This window comes from Homo sapiens, chromosome Y (genome assembly GCF_000001405.40).
Source record: "Homo sapiens chromosome Y, GRCh38.p14 Primary Assembly".
Taxonomy (NCBI): Eukaryota; Metazoa; Chordata; class Mammalia; order Primates; family Hominidae; genus Homo; species Homo sapiens.
This window is the reverse complement of record NC_000024.10, coordinates 11,720,747-11,743,095: the sequence shown is the minus strand read 5'-3', so window position 1 is coordinate 11,743,095 and position 22,349 is coordinate 11,720,747. Positions and strand designations below refer to the sequence as shown.

The following is a 22,349-nucleotide window of genomic DNA, read 5'->3' as shown; positions in this document are numbered from 1 at the left end:
TTCCATTCCATTCGATTGCATTCCACTCAATTGTACACAGTTCCATTCCATTGCATTCCATTCTATTCCTTCCCATTGCATTCCATTCCATTCCATTTGATTATATTCCATTCGATTCCAAGGAGTTCGAATCAATTACATTTCAATCCATTACATTCGAGTCCTTTCTATTTCAGTCCATTCCATTCTGGTCAATTCCATTCGATTCCTTTCCATTTGATTCCATACCATACTATTGCATTCCTTTTGATTCCATTCTATTTGAATAAATTATATTTGGGACCATTCCTTTTGAATCCATTATATTTGAGTCCATTCCATTGGATTCCTATACATTTGGGTCCATTCCATTGCAATCCATTGCATTCCTTTGCATTCCATTCAATGCCATTTCATTCTACTCTATTCCATTAGAGTCCATTCCACTCGAGTCCGTTACATTCCGTTCCATTCCATTCGATGCCATTCCATTCGATTCTATTCCATTTGACTCTATTCCATTCCATTCCATTCCATCCAATTCCATTCTATTCTACTCCTTTCCATTCCATTTCATTCGTTTCCATTCCATTCGAGTCTAATCCATTCCAGTCCATTCCATTCGAGTTCACTCCATTCCAGTCCATTCCATTCGCGTCCATGCCATTCCATTCAATATCTTTCCATAACGTTCCATTCCATTCTATTCTTTTCGATTCCATTCAATTACATTCCATTCAGTTCCATTCCTTTCGACTCCATTCCATTCGAGAACAGTCTCTTCCATTCCATTCCATTCCATTCTGTACGATTCCAATCCGTTCGTTTCCACTTTATCCAGTTCATTACATTCGAGTTCATTCCATTCCAGTCCATTCGATTCAATTCCATTCCATTCAATTACGTTTCATTCGATTCCATTCCATTCGATTCCACTCCGATCCATTCCATTCTATTCCATTCAAATGCATTCCATTCCATTCAATTTGGTTACATTCCATTCAATTCCATTCCATTCAAATCAATTAAATTGCCATCCATTATGTTCGAGTCTGTTCTATTTCAGTCCGTTCCATTCCAGTCCATTCCATTTGATTCCATTCCATTTGATACCATTCTTTACTGTTGCATTCCATTCGATTCCATTCTATTCAAATAAATTCCATTCTAAACCATACCTTTCGAGTCAATTCTATTTGAGTCCATTCCATTTGATTCCATTACATTTGGTTCCATTCTATTTCATTCCATTCCATTCCTTTCCTTTTGATGCCATTCTATTGTATTCTACTCCATTTGAGTCCATTCCATTCGAGTATATTACATTCCATTCCATTCGATGCCATTCCATTTATTTCTATTTCATTCGAATCCATTCCAATCCTTTCCGTGTCATCCGATTCCATTCCATTCTATTCCTTTCCATTCCATTTCATTCTAATGCATTCACTTCCATTCCATTCAAGTCCATTCCATTCCATTCCATTCTCTTCCATTCGAGCCATTCCATTCGATTCTATTCCATTTGAGTCCAATCCATTTGAGTGTTTTCCATTCCACTCCATTCTATTCCATTCCATTCCATTCTATTCCATTCCATTTGATGTTATTCCATTCGATTCTATTCCATTCGACTCCATTCCATTCCATTAAGTTCCATCTGATTCCATTCCATTCTATTCCATTCCATTCCACTCCATTCCATTCCATTCCATTCCATTCCATTCCATTCCATTCCATTCCATTCCATTTGAGTCCATTCCAATCCAGTACATTCCATTCCAGTGCATTCCATATGAGTCCATTGTATTCCATTATTTTCCATTCGATAACTTTCCATTAGAGTTCATTCCATACTATTCCTTTCGATTCCATTCAATTCCATTCCATTTGATTCCATTCCATTTGGTTACATTCCATTCTACTCTATTCAAATAGTGTCCATTCCATTCCATTCCATTCTGTTCCATTTGATTTCAGTCCGATCAATTAAATATTTTTCAGTCAATTCCATTCAAGTACATTCCAATCCAGTCCATTTCATTCAGTTCCATTCCATTCGATTCCCTTCCATTCAATTCCATTGCACTCGATTCCAGTCCATTGAATTCCATTGCATTCCATTCTATTGGATTCTTTGCATTCCATTGCATCCATTTGATTACATTCCTTTTGACTCCATTCCTTTCAAATCAATTACATTGCAATCCATTACATTCGAGTCTGTTCTATTCCACTCCAATCCATTCTGGTACATTCCATTCGATTCCATTCCATACTATTGCATTCCATACTATTGCATTCCATTGGATTCCATTCTATTCGAATAAATTCCACTTGAGACCATTTCTTTCGAGTCCATTCTATTTGAGTCCATTCCTTTTTAGTCAATTACATTTGTTTCTTTCCATTCCATTCCATTAAATTCCATTCCATTCCATTCCGTTCCATTCCCTCCGATGCCTTTCCATTCTATTCTGTTCCATTCGAGTCCATTTAATTTCATTCAATTATATGCCATTCCATTCGATTGTATATCATTCGACTCCATTCCATGCCATTCCATTCCATCCCATTCCATTCCATTTTATTCCTTTCCATTCCATTCCATTCGTTTCCATTCCGTTTGAGTCCATTCCACTCCAATTCATTCCACTTGAGTCGAATCCATTCCAGTACATTCATTTCTAGTCCATTCCATTCCATTTGATGTATTCCCGAGTCACTCCATTCCATTCTATTCTTTTTGATTCCATTCAATTCCATTCCATTAGTTTCCATTCCTTTTGACTGCATTCCATTCGAATCCATTCTCTTCCATTCCACTCCATTCCATTCCGATTGATTCCAATCCGTTTGTTTCCATTTTATTCCAGGCCATTATATTCGAGTCCATTCCATTCCAGTCCAATCTATTCGATTCCATTCCATTCCATTCAATTCCACTCCATTCCATTATATTGCATTCCATTCTTTTCCATTCAATTGAATTCAATTTGATTACATTTGATTACATTCCATTTGATTCCATTCCATTCAAATCAGTCACATTGCAATCCATTACATTTGAGTCCATTCTATTCCAGTCCATTACATTCCCGTCCATTCCATTCCATTCCAATCCGTTTGATTCCATTACATGCTATTGCATTCCTTTCGATTCCATTCTACTCGAGTAAATTCCATTCGAGACCATTACTTTCGAATCCATTCTATTTGAGTCCTTTCCGTTCGAGTCCATTACATTTGGGACCATTCCATTCTATTCGATTCCATTGCATTCCATTCCATTCGTTTCGATCCCTTTCCATTCTATTCTATTCCATTCAAATCCATTCCATTCGATTCGATTCCATTCCATTCCACTCCATTCGATGCCATTCCTTTCGATGCCATTCCATTCCTTTCGATGCCATTCCATTCCATTCCATTCCATTCCATTCCATTCCATCCAAATCTATTCCATTCTATTCCTTTCAATTCCATTTCATTCCATTCCATTCCTTTCCAATCCATTCGAGTCCATTCCATTCCATTCCATTCTATTCCATTTGATGCCATTCCATTAGATTCTATTCCATTCGAGTGCATTCTGTTCGAGTCCTTCCCATTCCATTCAATTCCATTCGATGCCATTCCATTCGATTCTATTCCATTCGACTCCATTCCATTCCATTAAGTTCCAACGAATTCCATTCCATTTAATTCCTTTCCATTCCATTGCATTCATTTCCGTTCCATTCTAGTCCATTCCACTCCAGTCCATTCCATTCGAGTCCATTCCATTCCAGTCCATTCCATTCTAGTCCATTCCATTCCATCCCATTCAATATCTTTCTATTACACTCCATTCCATTCTATTCCTTTCGATTCCATTCCATTCCATTCCATTCTATTCCATTCCATTCCATTCCATTCGACTCCATTCCATTCGATTCCATTCCATTCGACTCCATTCCATTCCATTCCATTCCATTCCTTTCGATTCTAATCCGTTCGATTCCATTTTGCTCCAGTCTATTCCATTCGAATCCATTCCATTTGAATATATTTCATTCGATAACCTTCCATTCAATTCCATTCCACTCGATTCCATTCCATTCCTTTCCATTCCATCGCATTCCATTCTATTCCATTCAATTGCATTCCTTTCCATTCCATTTGATTACATTCCATTCGATTCCAAGTCACTCGAATCAATTACATTGCAATCCATTACATTCGAATCTGTTCTATTCCTGTCCATTTCATTCTGGTCCATTCCATTCGATTCCATTCCATAGTATTGCATTGCTTTCTATTCCATTCTTTCTGAATAAATTCCATTCGAGACCATTCCTTTCGAGTCCATTCCATTCTATTCCATTAATTTTGTGTCCATTCCATTCCATTCCATTCCATTCCATTCCATTCCATTCCATTCCATTCCATTCCACTCCATGTCATTCCATTCCATTCCACTCCATTCCATTCCTTTCCATTCCTTTGGATGCCATTCTGTTCAATTCTATTCCATCAGTGTCCATTTCATTCGAGTCCATTGCATTCCATTCCAATCGATGCCAATCCATTCGATTCTATTCCATTTGACAGCATTCCGTTCCGTTCCGTTCCATCCTATTCCATTAAAATCTATTCCTTTCCTTTCCCTTCCATTCCTTTATAATCGTTTCTGTTCCATTCGAGTCCATTCCATTCCACTGCATTCCATTCGAGTCCAATCCATTCCATTATGTTCCATTCGAGTCCAATCCATTCGATTCCATTTTGTTACAGTCCATTAGTTTCGAGTCCATTCCATTCCAGTCGATTCCATTTGATTTCATTGCATTAGATTCCATTATATTCGATTCCATTCCACTCTATTCCCCTTCTTTGCATTCCATTGCACTCCATTCAATTCCATTTTATTCTATTCCATTCCACTCGATTCCACTACGTTCCATTCCATTCCATTCTATTCCCTTCCACTATATACCTTTCCATTCCATTTGATTACATTCCATTGGATTCCATTCCATTCAAATCAATTGCATTGCAATCCATTACATTCGTGTCCATTGTATTCCATTCCATTCCATTCCATTCCAGTCGATTCCATTCGATTCCATTCCATTCTATTGCATTCCATTCAATTCCATTCTATTCGAATAAATTCCATTCGAGACCATTCCATTCTACTCCATTCTATTTGTGTATATTCCGTTCAAGTCCATTACATTAGGGTCACTTGCATTCCATTCCATTCCATTCCATTCCATTCCATTCCATTCCATTCCATTCCATTCCATTCCATTCCATTCCATTCCATTTGATGCCATACTATTCAATTCTATTCCGTTTGAGTCCATTCCATTCGATTAAATTCCGTTCCATTGCATTATATTTGATGCCATTCCATTCGAATCCATTCCATTCGAATCCATTCCATTCCAATCCGTTCTATGTGATTCCATTCCATTCTATTCCTTCCCATTCCATTTCATTCCATTCCATTGCACTGCTTTCCATTCCATTCGAGTCCATTTAACTCCAATCCATTCCAATCCATTCTTTTCCATTCGCGTCCATCCGATTCCATTCCTTTCTATTCGATATCTTTTCATTACACTCCATTCCATTCTATCCATTTCTATTTCATTCACTTACTTTCTTTCGATTCAGTTCAATTCGGTTTTGTTCCATTATATTCCATTCAAATCGATTCCATTCCATTCCATTCCATTCCGTTTGATTCCAATCCAATCAATTCCATTTTATTCCAGTCCAATCCATTCGATTCCATTCCATTCCAATCCATTCCATTCGATTCCGTTCCATTTGATTTCATTCCATTCAATTCCTTTCCACTAGGTTCCACTCCATTCCATTCCATTGCATTCCATTCTATTCCATTCCATTGCATTCCATTCCATTCCATTTGATTACATTACATTCGATTCCATTCCTTTCAATTAGTTTACATTAAATTCTATTACATTCGAGCCCATTCTATTCCACTCCAATCCATTCTGGTCCATTCCATTCCATTCCAGTTCTTTCAATTCCATTCCATATTATTGCATTTCATTTGATTCAAATAAATTCCATTCGAGACCATTCCTTTCGAGTCTATTCTATTTGAGTGCATTCCATTCGAGTCCAATACATTTGGTTCCATGAAATTCCATTCCAATCCATTTGATGCCATTCCATTCGATTCTACTCCATTCAAGTCCATTCCATTCGAGCCCATTCCATTCCATTCCATTCCATTCCATTCCATTCCATTCCATTCCATCTGATTCCATTCCATTCGATTCTATTCCGGTCGACTCCATTCCAATCCATTCCGTTCCATCCGATTCCATTCCATTCTATTCCATTCCATTCCCTTCCATTCCATTCCATTCATTTCCTTTCCATTCGAGTCAAATCAGTTGCAGTCCATTCCATTCCATTCTAGTCCATTCCATTCCTTTCCATTCATTCCATTCCATTTCATTAAAAGGTATTCCATTCGTTTGTATTTCACACCATTCCGTTCCATCAGATTCCATTGCATTCCATTCCTTCCGATGCCATTCCATTCGATTCTATTCCATTCCATTCCTTTCCATTCCATCCGATTCCGTTCCATTTTATTAATTTCCTTTCCCTTCCATTCCATTCGATTATTTTCCATCCCATTTTATTCCATTCCACTCCAGTCCTTTCCATTCAAGTGCATTCCATTCCAGTACATTCCATTCAATTCCATTCTATTCAAATTAATTCAATTCGAGACCATTCCTAACGAGTCCACTGTATTTGAGTCCATTCCATTCGATTCCATTACATTTGGGTCTATTCCATTCCGTTCCTTTCCTTTCCATTCGATGTCATTCCATTCGACTCTATTCCATTTCATTCCATTCCATCCGACTCCATTCCATTCTATACCTTTCCGTTCCATTGCAATCCATTCGCTTACATGACATTCGAGTCCATTCCACTCCAGTCTATTCCTTTCGAGTCCATTCCGTTCCAGTTCATTCCATTCGAGTCTATTCCATTCCTTTCCATTTGATATCATTCCTTACACTCCATTCCATTCTATTCCTTTCGATTCCATTCCATTCCATTCCATTCCATTTGACTCCATTCCAATCGAGTGCATTCCATTCCATTCCATTCCATTCCAATCCGTTCGATTCCATTTTATTCGAGTCCATTTAATTCCAGTCCATTACATTCGATCCCATTGCATTCAATTCCATTCCATACTATTGCATTCCGTTTGATTCCATTCTATTTGAATAAATTCCATTCGAGACCATTCCTTTTGAGTCCATTATATTTGAGTCCACTCCATTCCAGTGCAATACATTAGGGTCCATTCCATTCCCTTCCATTCCATTCCATTACATTCGATTTGATGCCATTCGATTCTATACTATTCATTTCGGGTCCATTCCATTAGAGTCCATTCCATTCCATTCCATTCCATTCCATTCCATTCCATTCCATTCCATTCCATTCCATTCCATTCCATTCCATTTCATTTGATTCCATTTCATTCTATTCCTTTCCATTCCCTTCCATTCCCTTCCGCTAGTTTCCATTCCATTCGAGTTCATTTCACTTCAGTCTATTCCATCTGAGTCCACTACATTCCAAACTATTCCATTCGAGTCCATTCCATGCCATTCCATTCCATCAATAACTTTGATTACACTCCATTCAATTCTACCCCTTTTAATCCCATTCAATTCCATTCAATTGGTTTCCATTCCTTTTGACTCCATTCCAATAGAGTCCATTCCATTCCATTGCATTCCATTCGATTCCAATCCGTTCGATTTTATTTAGTTCCAGGCCATTCCATTCGAGTCCATTCCATTCCAGTCCATTCCATTCAATTTCTTTCCTTTAGATTCCATTCCATTCAATTCAATTTCTTTCCCTTCGATTCCATTCCATTCAATTCCATTTCACCCTATTCAACTCCGTTCCATTCCATTGCATTTCATTCTATTCCATTCCATTGCATTCCATTCCATTCCATTTGGTTACATTCTATTCCATTCCCTTTGGTTACATTCCATTCTATTCGAATCAATTACATTTCAATCCATTAAATTTGATTCCATTCTTTTCCAATGCATTCCATTCCATTCCATTCCATTTAATTCTATTCCATTCGAGTTATTTCTATTAGATTTCATTGCATTCCATTCCATGCCATTCTAGGCGGTTCTTTCCTTTAGATTCCATTCCATTGCATTCCATTCCATTCCATTCCATTCCATTCCATTCCATTCCATTCCATTCCATTCCATCCGTTTGCATTCCATTCCATTCTACTCTTTCCTTTCCATTCCATTCCTTTCAATTCCATTCCATTCCATTCAATTTGTTTCCATTGCATTCGAGTCCATTCTATTCCATTCGAGGCCTTTCCATTCGATTGTATTAAATTCAACTCTATTCCATTCTATTCCGTTCCATCCAATTCCATTCCATTCTATTCCATTTCATGCCATTCCATTCCATTCCTTTCCCTTCCATTCCATTCAAGTCCAATCCGCTCCAATCCATGCCATTAGAATCCATTCCATTCCAATCTGTTCCATTCGAGTCCATTCCGTTTTATATGATTCCTTTCGATATCTTTCCATTACACTCCATTCCATTCTATTTCTTTTGATTCCATTCATTTCCATTCTATTCGATTCCATTCCTTTTGATTCCATTCCATTCGAATCCATTCAATTCGAATCCCTTACATTCCACTCTTTTCCATTCCATTCAATTCAGTTCAACTCCAATTCGTTCCATTCCATTTTGTTCCATTCCATTCCATTCGAGTACCTCCCTTTCCAGTCCATTTCATTCGAATCCATTCCTCTCGATTCCATTCCATTTGATTCCATTTTTTTTCCATTTCATTCCATTCGATATCTTTCCATTGCTCTCCATTCCACTATTCTTTTCGATTCCATTCAATTCCATTTCATTTTTTTCCCTTCCATTTCATTTCATTCCATTTGACTCCATTCCGTTAGAGTCCAATTCTTTCCATTCCATTCCATACCATTGATTTACAATCCTTTCGATTCCATTTTGTTCCAGTCCACTCCATTCGACTCCATTCCATTCCAGTCAAATCCATTTGATTCCATTCCATTCTATTGCATTCCACTCAATTGCACTCCATTCCATTCCATTTCATTCCATTCTGTTCCATTCCATTGAATTCCATTTCATTCCATTTGATTACATTCCATTCTATTCCATTCCATTCGAATCACTTACATTACAATCTATTAGATTCGAGTCCGTTGTATTCCAGTCCATTCTATTTTCGTCCATTCCATTCGATTCTATTCCATTTGTAGCAATTACTTTGCAATCCATTAAATTCGAGTGAGTTTTATTCCAGTCCATTACATTCCAGTCAATTCCATTTGATTCCATTACATTCGATTCCATTCCATACTATTGCATTCCATTCGATTACATTCTATTCAAATAAATTCCATTGGAGACCAATTCTTTTGAGTCCATTCTATTTTATTCCATTCCATTCATTTCCATTACATTTGGGTCCATTCCATTCCATTCAATGTCATTCCATTCCATTCTATTCCATTTGAGTACACACCATTCGAGTCCATTCCATTAGATTACATCTCATTCGAAGCCATTCCAATCGATTGTATTCCATTCTACTCCATTCCATTCCATTTCGTTCCATCTGATTTGTTTCCATTCTGTTACTTTCCATTAAATTACATTCTATTCGTTTCCGTTACATTCGTGTCCATTCCACTCCAGTGCATTCCATTCGAGTCCATTCCATTCCAGTCCATTCCTCTCATGTCCGTTCTATTCCATTCCAATCCAGACGATCTCTTTCCATTACGCTCCATTCCATTCTATACCTTTTGATTCCATTCAATTCCATTCTATTCAATTCCTTTCCATTCGATTCCATTCTATTTGACTCCATTCGATTGGAGTCCATTCCATTCCATTGCATTCCATTCCTTTCAATTCCAATCCTTTCAATTCGATTTTGTTCCATTCCATTCCATTCGAGTCTATTCCATTCCAGTCCATTCCATTCAATTCCATTCCATTGGATTCCATTCCACTCGATTCCACTTCATTCCATTCGAGTGCAATCCATTAAATTCCATTGCATTCCATTCCGTTCCTTTCAATTCCAGTCAATTCAATTCCATTTTGTTCCAGTCCATTCCATTCGATTCCATTCCATTTGATTTCATTCCATTGGATTCCAATCCTCTCGATTCTACTCTGTTCCATTCCATTGCATTCCACTCTATTCCATTCCAGTTCATCATATTCCATTCCTTTTGATTAGAATCCATTCTTTTCCATTCCATTCAAATCTATTACATTGCAATCCATTACATTCTTATCCGATCTATTCCAGTCCATTCCATTCCGGTCCATTCCATTCGATTCCATTCAATACTATTGCATTCCCTTCGATTCCATTCTACTCGAATGAATTCCATTCCAGCCCATTCCTTTCGAGTCCATTCTATTTGAGTCCATTCCTTTTGTTTCCACTACATTTGGGTCCATTCCATTCCATGCCATTCCATTCCGTTCGAGGCCATTCCATTCGAATATATTCCATGAGAATGCATTCCTTTCAAGTCCAAACCATTCCATTCCATTCCATTCCATTCCATTCCATTTCATTCCATTCCATTCCATTCCATTCCATTTGATGCCATTGTATTCGATTCTATTGCATTCGACTCCCTTACATTCCATTCTGTTCCATCCGATTCTATTCCACTATATTCCTGTCCATTCCATTCCATTCATTTCCATTCCATTGGAGTCCATTCCTCCCCAGTCCATTCCATTCGATTCCATTCCACTCCAGTCAATTAAATGAGAGTCCATTCCATTTCATTCCATTTGATATCTTTCCATTAAACTCCATTGCATTCAAATCCATTCCACTCAATTCCATTGCAATCAATTCCATACCATTCATTTTCATTACATTTGACTCCATTCCATTCGAGTCCTTTCCATTCCATTCAATTTCATTCCATTCTGTTTGATTCTAATCCGTTCGCTTCCATTTTTTCCCAAGTCCATTCCATTCGATTCCAATACATTCGATTCCATTCCATTCGATTCTATTCCACTCGATTCCACTCCATTTCATTCCATTGCATTCCATTCTATTCCTTTCCATTCCATTGCCTTTCACTATTTTCCATTTCATTACATTCCATTCGATTCCATTCGGTTCCATTCCAGGTAATTCCATTCTATTCCAGTCCATTCCATTCCATTCTATTAAATTCCATTCCATTCAGTTCGACCCCAATCCGTTCGATTCCGTTTTGTTCCAGTACATTTCATTCGAGACCATTCCATTCCAGTCCAATCCATTCGATTCCCTTCTACTGGATTCCATTCAACTCGATTCCACTTCATTCCATTGAATCCCATTCTATTACATTAAATTGCATACCATTCCATTTGATTCCATTCCATTCAATTCAACACCATTGCAATCCATTACTTTCGAGTCCATTCTATTCCAATCCATTCCATTCCTGTCCATTCCATTTGATTCCATTCCATACTATTGCATTCCATTCGATTCCATACTATTTGAATAAATTACTTTGGAGAACATTCATTTCGAGTCAATTATATTTACGTCTATTCCATTCGAGTCCATTACGTTTGGGTCCTTTCCGTTCCATTCCATTCTATTCCATTCCAGTTGATTCCATTCCATTCCATTCCATTCCATTCCATTCCATTCCATTCCATTCCATTCCATTCGAATTGATTCCATTCCATTCCATTCCATTCCATTTGATTCCATTCCATTCGATTCCATTCCATTCGATTCCCTTAAACTCGATTCCATGCTGTTCCATTCCATTACATTCCTCTCTATTCCATTCAATTGCATTCCATTAAATTCCATTTGATTACATTCCTTTCTATTCCATTCCTTTCGAATCAAATACATTGCAGTCCATTACATTCTAGTCCTTTATATTCCAGTGCATTCCATTGCAGTATATTCCATTCGTTTCCATTAAAAACTCTTGCATTCCATTCGATTCCATTCTATTCAAATAAATTCCATTTGTGACCATTGCTTTTGAGTCCATTCTATTTGATTCCATTCCTTTCAAGTCTATTACATTTGGGTCAATTCCATTCCATTCGATTCCATTCAATACCATTCCAGTCTATTCTAATCCATTCGAGTCCATTCCATTTGAGTCCCTTCCATTCCATTCCTTTCCATTCCATTCAAAGCCATTCCATTATATTGTATTCCATTCGACTCCATTCAATTCCATTCTGTTACATCCGATTCCATTATATTCTATTACTTTCAGTTCCATTCCACACCATTCGTTTCGATTCCATTTCCGTCCATTCCATTCCAGTCCATTCCATTCTTGTCCATTCCATTCCAGTCCATTCCATTTGATTCCATTCCATTACATTCCATTCGATATCTTTCCATTACACTCTATTCCATTCTATTCCTTTTGATTACATTCAATTCCATTCTATTGGATTGCATTCCATTTGATTCCATTCCATTCGTCTGCATTACATTGAAGTCCATTCCATTTGATTCCATTCCATTCGAATCCATTCCACTCGATTCCTCTCTGTTCCATTCCATTGAATTTCATTCTATTCCATTCCACTGGATTCCATTCAATTCCATTTGTTTACATTCCATTTGATTCCATTCCATTCGAATCAATTACATTGCAACCCATTACATTCGAGTCCATTCTATTCCAGTCCATTCCATTCAGGTACATTCCATTCCATTCCATTCCATTCTATTCCATTCCATACTATTGCCTTCCTTTTGATTGCTTTCTATTCAAATAAATTCCATTCGATACCATTCCTTTCCAGTTCATTGTATTTGATTCAATTTCATTAGAGTCCATTACATTTGTGTGCATTCTATTCCATTTCATTCCACTCCATTCCATTCAAAACCATTCCATTAAATTCTATTCCATTCAATTCCATTACATTGCATTCCATTCCATTCCATTGCATTGCATTCCATTCCAGTTGATTACATTCCATTTGATTCCATTCCATTTGAATCAATTACTTTGCAATCCATTGCATTCAATTCCATTATTTTTTCAGTCCATTCCATGCCAGTCCATTCCATTTGATTCTATTCCATTCGAGTCCATTCCATTTGAGTCATTTCTATTCCATTCCATTCCATTCCATTCCATTCCATTCCATGCCATTCCATGCGATTTTATTCCTTTTGACTCCATTCCATTCCATTCCATCCGATTCCATTCCATTCCATTCTATTCTTTCCTTTCCATTCCATTCCTTTCCATTCCATTCCATTCAATTCATTTCCATTGCATTCGAGTCCATTCCTTTCCATTCCATTCGATGGCATTCCATTCGATTCCATTCCGTGCAACACCATTCCATCCAATTCCATTCCATTCCATTCCATTCCATTCCATTCCATTCCATTCCATTCCATTCCATTCCATTCCATTCCATTCCTTTCGTTTCCATTCCATTCGAGTCCATTCCACTCCAGTCCATGACATTATGGTCCATTCCATTCCAATCCATTCCATTTGAGTCCATTCTCTTCCATCCATTTCCATTTGATATCTTTCCATTCCACTCCATTCCACTCTATTTCTTTCAATTCAATTCTATTCAATTCCATTCCATTTGAATCCATTCCATTTGAATCCATTCAATGCGAATCCATTCCATTCCACCCCTTTCCTTTCCATTCCATTCAGTTCGACACCAATTCGTTCGATTTCATTTTTTTCCATTCCATTCCATTCGAATACATTCCTTTCCAGTCCATTTCATTCGACTTCATTCCATTTGATTCCATTCAATTCGATTCCATTTTGTTACGTTTCATTCCATTCAATATCTCTCCTTCACACTCCATTCCATTCTATTCTTTTTGATTCCATTCAATTAGATTCCATTTTATTCCCTTCCATTTCTTTCCATTCTATTCGACTCCATTCCATTAGATTCCATCCCATTCCATTCTATTCCGTTCCATTTGATTCCAATCCGTTCGATTCCTTTTTGTTCCCGTAAATTCTATTCGAGTCCATTCCATTCCAGTGAAATCCATTCAATTCCATTCCATTCGATTCCATTCCACTGAATTCCAATCCATTCCATTCCATTTCATTCCATTCTTTTCCATTCCATTGATTTCCATTTCATTCCATTTTATTACATTACTTTTGAATCAATTACATTACAATCCATTATATTCGAGTCCGTTCTATTCCAGTCTATTCTATTCTAGTCCATAACATAAGGTTCCATTCCATTCGTAACAATTACTTTGCAATCCATTACATTCATGACCGTTTGATTCCAGTCCATTTCATTCAGATCCATTCCATTTGATTCCATTACATTTGATTCCTTTCCATACTATTGCATTGAATTCGATTCCGTTGTATTCAAATAAATTGCATTGGAGACCAATTCTTTTGAGTCCATTCTATTTGAGTCCATTCCATTCGACTCCATTACATTTGGATCCATTCCATTCCATTCCATTCCATTCCATTCCATTCCATTCCATTCCATTTCATTCCATTCTGCTCCATTCCATTCCATTCCTTTGCATTCCATTCCATTCCTTTCTATTCCAATCCATTCAATTCCATTTTGTTCCTTTCCGTTCCATTCGAGTCTATGCCATTCCAGTCCATTCCATTGGATTCCATTCCATTGGATTCTATTCCATTGGATTCCATTCCACTCGATTGCAATCCGTTCCCTTCGAGTCCATTCCATTCCATTCCATTCCATTCCATTCCATTCCATTCCGTTCCTTTCTATTCCAATCCATTCAATTCCATTTTTTCCAGTCCATTCCATTCCAGTCCATTCAATTCTATTCCATTCTAATTGATTCTATTCCATAGGATTCCAATCCTCTTGATTCTGCACTGTTACATTCCTTTGCATTCAATTCTATTCTATTCCATTGCATTATATTCCATTCTATTTGATTAGAATCCATTCTATTGCATTCCATTCGAATCTATTATATTGCAATTAATTACATTCGTATCCACTCTATTCCAATCCATTCCATTCCTGTCCATTCCATTCTATTGAATTCCATTCGATTCCATTCAATACTATTGCATTGCCTTCGATTTGATTCTACTCGAACGAATTCCATTCGAGCCCATTCCTTGCGAATCCATTCTATTTGAGTCCATTCCATTTGTGTCCACTACATTTAGGTGCATTCCATTTCAAGAAATTACAATCCATTCCATTCGATGCCATTCCATTCGACTGTATTCCATGAGAATCCATTCCTTTCAAGTCCATTCCATTCCATTCCGTTCCGTTCCATTTCATGCCATTCCATTCGATTCTATTCCATTTGACTCCATTATATTCCAATCCCTTCCATCCGATCCATTCCATTATATTCCTGTCCATTTCATTCCATTTGAGTCCATTCCACTCCAGTCAATTCAATTCGAGTCCATTCCATTCCAGTCCATTGTATTCGAGTCCATTCCATTACATTCCATTCGATATCTTTCCATTGCCTTCCATTGCTTTCAATTCTATTCCACTCAGTTCCATTGCATTTGATTCCATACCATTCAATTGCTTTCCATTTGATTCCATTCTATTCGAGTCCTTTCCGTTCCATTCCATTTCATTCCGTTCTGTTTGATTCCAATCCGTTGAATTCCATTTTGTCCCAAGTCCATTCCATTCTTGGCCATTACATTCAATTCTATTCCTTTCGATTCAATTCCACTCGATTCCACTCCGTTCCTTTCCATTGCATTCCATTCTATTCCATTCCATTGCCTTCCATTACTTTCCATTTGTTTACATTCCATTTGATTCCATTCGGTTCCATTCCCTTTGACTCCATTCCATTCGAGTCCATTCCATTCCACTCCATTAAATTCCATTACGTTCAGTTCGACTCCAATCCGTTCAATTCCCTTTTGTTCCAGGCCATTCCATTCCAATCCATTCAATTCCCTTACATTCGATTCCATTCAACTCGATTCCACTCCATTCCATTCCATTGCATTCCATTCGATTCCATTAAATAGCATACCACTCCATTTGATTCCATTCCTTACAAATCAATAGCATTGCTATCCATTACGTTCGAGTCCATCTATTCCAATCCATTCCATTCGATTCCGTTCTATTCGATTCCATTCCATAATATTGCATTCTATTCGATTCCATTCTATTCGAATACATTCCATTGGAGACCATTCCTTTAGAATCAATGCTATTTGAGTCTATTCCATTCGAGTCCATTACATTTGGGTCCATTCCATTCCATTCCACTGGTTGCCATTACATTTGATTCTCTTCCATTTGAGTCCATTTCATTCGATTCCATTCCAATCCATTCCATTCCATTCTGTTCCATCCGATTCCATTCCATTCTAATCCATTCCATTCCATTCCATGCCATTCTTTTCCATTACACTCCTCTCTAGTACATTCCATTCGAGTCCTTGCCATTCCATTCCATTCCATTTGAGTCCATTCCATTCCATTCCATTTGAGTCCATTCCATTCCATTCCATTCCATTCCATTTGATATCTTTCCATTATACTCCATTCCATTCTATTCTTTTGATTCCATTCAAATCCTTTCCAAATGATTCCATTCCAATCAATTCCATTCCATTCGACTGTATTCAATTCGAGTTCATTCCATTCCATTCTATCCCGTTCTTTTCGATTCCAATCTGTTCTATTGCATTTTATTCCAGTCCATTCCATTCTATTCCATTCCATTGCATTCCATTCCATTCCATTAGACTATAATACATTCGAATCCATTCCATTCGAATAAATAACATTGCAATCCATTACATTGGCGTCCGTTCTATTCCAGTCCATTCCATTCGTTTACATTTCATTCGGTTGAATTCCATACTATTACATTTCAGTCGATTCCATTCTGTTCGAACAAATTCCATTCGAGAACATTCCTTTCGATTCCATTCCATTTGACTCCATTCCATTCTAGTCTATTACATTTGGGTCCATTCCCTTCCATTCCATTCCATTCGATTTGATTCCACTCAATTCCACTCCGTTCCATTCCATTGCCTTCCATTCTATTCCATTCAATTGCATATCGTTCCATTCCATTTGATTACATTCCATTCAATTCCATTCCATTCAAATCAACTGCATTGCAATCCATTACATTCGAGTCCGTTCTATTCCATTGGAATCCATTCTGGTCCATTCCATTCGATTCCATTCCATTCGATTCCATTCCATACTATTGCATTCCATTCGATTCCATTCTATTCGAACAAATTCCATTCGAGAACATTCCTTTCGAGTCCATTCTATTTGATTCATTTATATTCGATTCCATTACTTTTGGGTCCATTCCATTCCATTCCATTTCATTCCATTCCATTCGATGCCATTCCATTCTGTTCTATTCCATTTTAATCCATTCCATTCGAGTCCATTCCATTCCATTCCATTCCATTCCATTCCATTCCATTCCATTCCATTCCATTCATTCCATTCACTTTTATTCAAATATATTCCATTCGATTCTTTTCCACACCATTCTGTTCAATCCAATTCCATTGCATTCCATTCCTTTTGATTCCATTCCATTCGATTCTATTCCATTCCATTCCATTCCGTTCCATCCAATTCCATTCCATTTTATTTATTTCCATTCCATTCCATTCCATTCTATTGTTTTCCATTCAATTTTATTCCATTCCTCTCCTGTCCATTCCATTACAATACATTCCATTCCAGTCCATATCATTCAATTCCATTCTGTTCGAATAAATTCCATTCGAGACCATATTTAATGAATCCATTATATTTGAGTCCATTCCATTCGAGTCCATTACATTTGTGTCCATTCCGTTTTGTTCCTTTCCTTTCCTTTTGATGCCATTCCATTCGACATTATTCCATTAAAATCAATTCCATTCCATTCCATTTCATCTGATTCCCTTCCATTCTATACCTTTCCATTCCATTTCTTTCCATTGCACTCCATTTGTTTCCATGACATTCGAGTCCATTCCACTCCAGTACATTCCATTTGAGTACATTCCATTTGTGTTCATTCCATTCGAGTCTATTCCATTCCATTCGATATCTTTCCATTACACTCCATTCTATTCTATTCCATTTGATTCCATTCCATTCCATTCCATTCCATTCCATTCCATTCCATTTGACTCCATTCCAATCGAGAGCATTGCATTCCATTCCATTCCGTTCCATTCCATTCCAACCCGTTCAATTCCATTTTTTTTTCCAGTCCATTCCATTCGAGTCCATTTCCTTCCAGTTCATTACATTCGATTCCATTCCATTCGATTCCATTTAACTCGATTCCACTCCATTCCGTTCTATTGCATTCCAATCTATTCCATTCCATTGCATTCCATTCCATTCCATTCCATTCAATTTATTACAATCCATGCGATTCTATTCCATTCAACTCAATTACATTACAATCCATTACATTCGAGTCCATTCCATTCAATTCCATTTCATTTGATTCCATTCCATACTATTGCATTACATTCGATTCCATTCTATTCGAGTCAATTCCATTCTAGATCATTCCTTTCTAGTCCATTCTATTTGACTCCAAGCCATTCGAGTCCATTGCATTTGGGGCCATTCCATTCCATTCCTTTCGATGCCATACCATTCGTATCTATTCCATTTGATTCTATTCCACTCGACTCAATTCCATTCCATTCCGTTCTATCCAACTCCATTCCCTTCCATTCCTTTCTATTCCTTTGCATTTCCTTCCATTCAATTTCGTTCCTTTCCACTCAATTTTAGTCCATTCCTTTCGATTCCATTCCTTTCCATTCCATTCCATTCTAGTCCATTACTTTCCATACCATTCCATGCCATTCAGTATCTTTCCATTACACTCCATTCCATTCTATTCCTTGCGATTCCATTCAATGCCATGCCATTCTATTCCATTCCATTCGATTCCATTCCGTTTGCCTACATTCCTTTCGAGTCCATTAAATTCCCTTCCATTACATTCCGTTCCATCGGATTCCAATCTATTGCATTTAATTTTGTTCCAATCCATTCCCTTCGATTCCATTCCATTCCTGTCCATTCCGTTTGATTCCATTCCATTCGATTCCATTCCATTCTATTCCGTTCCACTCGATTCCACTCTGTTCCATTTCATTGCATTCCAACCTATTCCATTCCATTGAAATGCCTTCCATTCCATTTGATTACCTCTCATCCGATTCCATTCCGTTTGAGTCAATTACATTGAAATCCATTGCATTCGAGTCCCTTCCATTCCAGTCCATTCCATTCCAGTCCATTCCATTCGATTTAGTTGCATTCAGTTCCATTAAATACTATTGTGTTATATTAGATTCCATTCCATTAGAATGAATTTCATTCGATATAATTGCATTAGAGTCCATTCCATTAAAGTCCATTACACTCGACTCAATTATATTTGGGACCATTCCATTCCATTCGTTGCCATTCCAGTAGATTGCATTCCATTCGATTCCATTCCATTCAATTCCATTCGAAGCCATTACTGTTGATTCTATTCCATTCAACTCCTTTCCCTTCCATTCAGTTCCATCTGATTCCATTGCATTCCATTCCTTTCCTTTCTATTCCATTCCATACCTTTCCATTCCATTCCATTCCATTCCATTCCATTCCATTCCATTCCATTCCATTCCATTCCTTTCCATTCCATTCCATTCCAGTCTATTCCATTCCATTCCATTCCATTCCATTCCATTCCATTCCATTCCATTCCATTCCATTCCATTCCATTCCTTTTCATTCCATTAGTTGCCATTCCAGTAGATTTCATTCCATTCGATTCCATTCCATTCAATTCCATTCGAAGTCATTACTGTTGGTTCTATTCCATTCAACTCCATTCCCTTCCATTCCGTTACATCTGATTCCATTCCATTCCATTCCTTTCCACTCCATTCCATTCCATTCCATTCCATTCCATTCCATTCCATTCCATTCCATTCCTTTCCATTCCATTCCATTCCTTTCTATTCCATTCCTTTTCATTCCATTAGTTGCCATTCCAGTAGATTTCATTCCATTCGATTCCATTCCATTCAATTCCATTCGAAGCCATTACTGTTGGTTCTATTCCATTCAACTCCATTCCCTTCCATTCCGTTACATCTGATTCCATTCCATTCCATTCCATTCCATTCCATTCCATTCCATTCCATTCCATTCCATTCAGTTCTTTACCATTTCATTCTATTCAATTCCACTCCAGTCCATTCCATTCGAGTCCATTACTTTCCAGTCCATTCCTTTCGAGTCCAATCCATTCCATTCCATTCTATTCCATATCTTTCCATTACCCTTCATTCCAGTCTATTCCTTTCATTTCCATTCCATTTGATTCCATTCCACTTGATTACATTTCATTTGACTCCATTCTGTTCGAGTCCATTCCATTCCATTCCGTTCAATTCGATTCCTATCTGTTCAATTCCATTTTATTGCAGTGCATTCATTCGATACCACTCCATTACAGTCCATTCCATTGGATTCCATTCCATTCGATTCCATTCAATTCGAATAAATTCCATTCGAGACCATTCCTTTTGAGTCCATTATATTTGAGTCCATTCCATTCCAGTCCATAACATTTGTATCCATTCCATTCCATTCCACTCATTCGATGCCATTCCATTTGATTCTATTCCATTTGACTCCATTCCATTCCATTTCGTTCCATTTTGATTCACCCTATTACATTCCTTCCTATTACATACCATTCCGTTGCATTCTTTTCCTTTGATTTGTCTCCAATCCTCTCCAGTCCATTCCATTCGTGTCTGTTCCATTCAAGTCCACTGCATTCCGTTCCATTTTATCCCATTCCATTCCATTCCATTCCATTGCATTCCATTCCATTCCACTCAGGTTGATTCCATTCCATTCCATTCCATTCCATTCCATTCCATTCCATTCCATTCCATTCCATTCCACTCCATTCCATTCCACTCGGGTTGATTCCATTCCATTCCATTCCATTCCATTCCATTCCATTCCATTCCATTCCATTCCATTCCGTTCCTTTCCATTCCGGTCCATTCCTTTCCATTTTGTTCCAGTCCATTCCATTCGATTCCATTCCACTCAATTCCACTCTGTTGCATTCCATGGCATTCCATTCTCTTCCATTTCATTGAATTCCATTCTATTCCAATCCACTGCAGTCCATTCCATTCCATTTGATTACATTCTATTCAATTCCCTTCCTTTTGAGTCAATTACATTGCAATACTTTACATTCGAGTCTTTTCTATTCCAGTCCATTCCATTCTGGTCCTTTCCATTCGATTCCATTGTATTCTATTCCATTCGGTACTCTTGCATTCCATTCGATGCCATTCTATTCAAATAAATGCCTTTCAAGACCATTCCTTTCGAGTCCATTCTATTTGAATCCTTTCCATTCGAGTCCAAGAAGTTTGTTTCTATTCCATTCTCGTCTATTCCATTCCATTCCCTTCCATTCGATGCCATTCCATTCGATTCTATTCCATTCGAGTCCATTCCATTCCATTGCATTCGATGAGATCCCATTAGATTTTATACCACTCGACTCCATTCCATTCTGTTCCGTTCCAACCGATTGCTTTCCATTATATTCCTTTCCATTCCATTCCTTTCGTTTCCATTCCATTGGAGTCCATTCCACTCCATTCCATTCCATTCCATTTAATTTGATGCCATTCCATTCGATTCTATTCCAATCAAATCCATTCCATTCCACTCCGTTCGTTCTGATTCCATTCCATTCTATTCTTTTCCATTCCATTGCCTTCCATTCTATTCCATTCCATTCCATTCCATTCCATTCCATTCGACTATATTCCTTTACCCTCCATTCCATCATATTCATTTTGATTCAAAACAATTCCATTCCATTGGTTTCCATTACATTGGATTCCAATCCATTCGACTCCATTCCAAGAGTCCAATCCATTCCGTTCCAATCTGTTGTATTGAATTCCAATCCGTACGATTCAATTTTGCTCCACTCCATTCCATTCGAGTCCATTCCATTACAGTTAATTACATTCGATTGCATTCCATTCGATTCCAATCCATTCGATTCCATTCCACTCGATTTCACTGCGTTGCATTCCATTGCATTCCGTTATATTCCAATCCATTGAATTCCATTCCATTCCATTCCACTCGAATCAATTACATTACATTTCTTTACATTCGAGTCCGTTCTATTCCATTCCATTCCA

At 37.5% G+C, this 22,349-nt stretch overlaps 9 annotated features.

The window, feature by feature from the left end:
- Positions 5,524-6,059: an enhancer, noted in NCBI's record as "OCT4-NANOG hESC enhancer chrY:13857743-13858278 (GRCh37/hg19 assembly coordinates)". NCBI's record gives its function as "activates a minimal SCP1, AML or CMV promoter by ChIP-STARR-seq in naive H9 embryonic stem cells {active_cell/tissue: H9 hESC(naive)}" and the evidence as "EXISTENCE:reporter gene assay evidence [ECO:0000049][PMID:30033119]".
- Positions 6,060-6,595: an enhancer, noted in NCBI's record as "OCT4-NANOG hESC enhancer chrY:13857207-13857742 (GRCh37/hg19 assembly coordinates)". NCBI's record gives its function as "activates a minimal SCP1, AML or CMV promoter by ChIP-STARR-seq in naive H9 embryonic stem cells {active_cell/tissue: H9 hESC(naive)}" and the evidence as "EXISTENCE:reporter gene assay evidence [ECO:0000049][PMID:30033119]".
- Positions 6,802-7,760: an enhancer, noted in NCBI's record as "OCT4-NANOG hESC enhancer chrY:13856042-13857000 (GRCh37/hg19 assembly coordinates)". NCBI's record gives its function as "activates a minimal SCP1, AML or CMV promoter by ChIP-STARR-seq in naive H9 embryonic stem cells {active_cell/tissue: H9 hESC(naive)}" and the evidence as "EXISTENCE:reporter gene assay evidence [ECO:0000049][PMID:30033119]".
- Positions 11,193-11,837: an enhancer, noted in NCBI's record as "OCT4-NANOG-H3K27ac-H3K4me1 hESC enhancer chrY:13851965-13852609 (GRCh37/hg19 assembly coordinates)". NCBI's record gives its function as "activates a minimal SCP1, AML or CMV promoter by ChIP-STARR-seq in primed H9 embryonic stem cells {active_cell/tissue: H9 hESC(primed)}" and the evidence as "EXISTENCE:reporter gene assay evidence [ECO:0000049][PMID:30033119]".
- Positions 11,838-12,483: an enhancer, noted in NCBI's record as "OCT4-NANOG-H3K27ac-H3K4me1 hESC enhancer chrY:13851319-13851964 (GRCh37/hg19 assembly coordinates)". NCBI's record gives its function as "activates a minimal SCP1, AML or CMV promoter by ChIP-STARR-seq in primed H9 embryonic stem cells {active_cell/tissue: H9 hESC(primed)}" and the evidence as "EXISTENCE:reporter gene assay evidence [ECO:0000049][PMID:30033119]".
- Positions 12,484-13,129: an enhancer, noted in NCBI's record as "OCT4-NANOG hESC enhancer chrY:13850673-13851318 (GRCh37/hg19 assembly coordinates)". NCBI's record gives its function as "activates a minimal SCP1, AML or CMV promoter by ChIP-STARR-seq in primed H9 embryonic stem cells {active_cell/tissue: H9 hESC(primed)}" and the evidence as "EXISTENCE:reporter gene assay evidence [ECO:0000049][PMID:30033119]".
- Positions 19,544-20,512: an enhancer, noted in NCBI's record as "OCT4-NANOG hESC enhancer chrY:13843290-13844258 (GRCh37/hg19 assembly coordinates)". NCBI's record gives its function as "activates a minimal SCP1, AML or CMV promoter by ChIP-STARR-seq in primed H9 embryonic stem cells {active_cell/tissue: H9 hESC(primed)}" and the evidence as "EXISTENCE:reporter gene assay evidence [ECO:0000049][PMID:30033119]".
- Positions 20,532-21,060: an enhancer, noted in NCBI's record as "OCT4-NANOG-H3K27ac-H3K4me1 hESC enhancer chrY:13842742-13843270 (GRCh37/hg19 assembly coordinates)". NCBI's record gives its function as "activates a minimal SCP1, AML or CMV promoter by ChIP-STARR-seq in naive and primed H9 embryonic stem cells {active_cell/tissue: H9 hESC(naive and primed)}" and the evidence as "EXISTENCE:reporter gene assay evidence [ECO:0000049][PMID:30033119]".
- Positions 21,061-21,590: an enhancer, noted in NCBI's record as "OCT4-NANOG-H3K27ac-H3K4me1 hESC enhancer chrY:13842212-13842741 (GRCh37/hg19 assembly coordinates)". NCBI's record gives its function as "activates a minimal SCP1, AML or CMV promoter by ChIP-STARR-seq in naive and primed H9 embryonic stem cells {active_cell/tissue: H9 hESC(naive and primed)}" and the evidence as "EXISTENCE:reporter gene assay evidence [ECO:0000049][PMID:30033119]".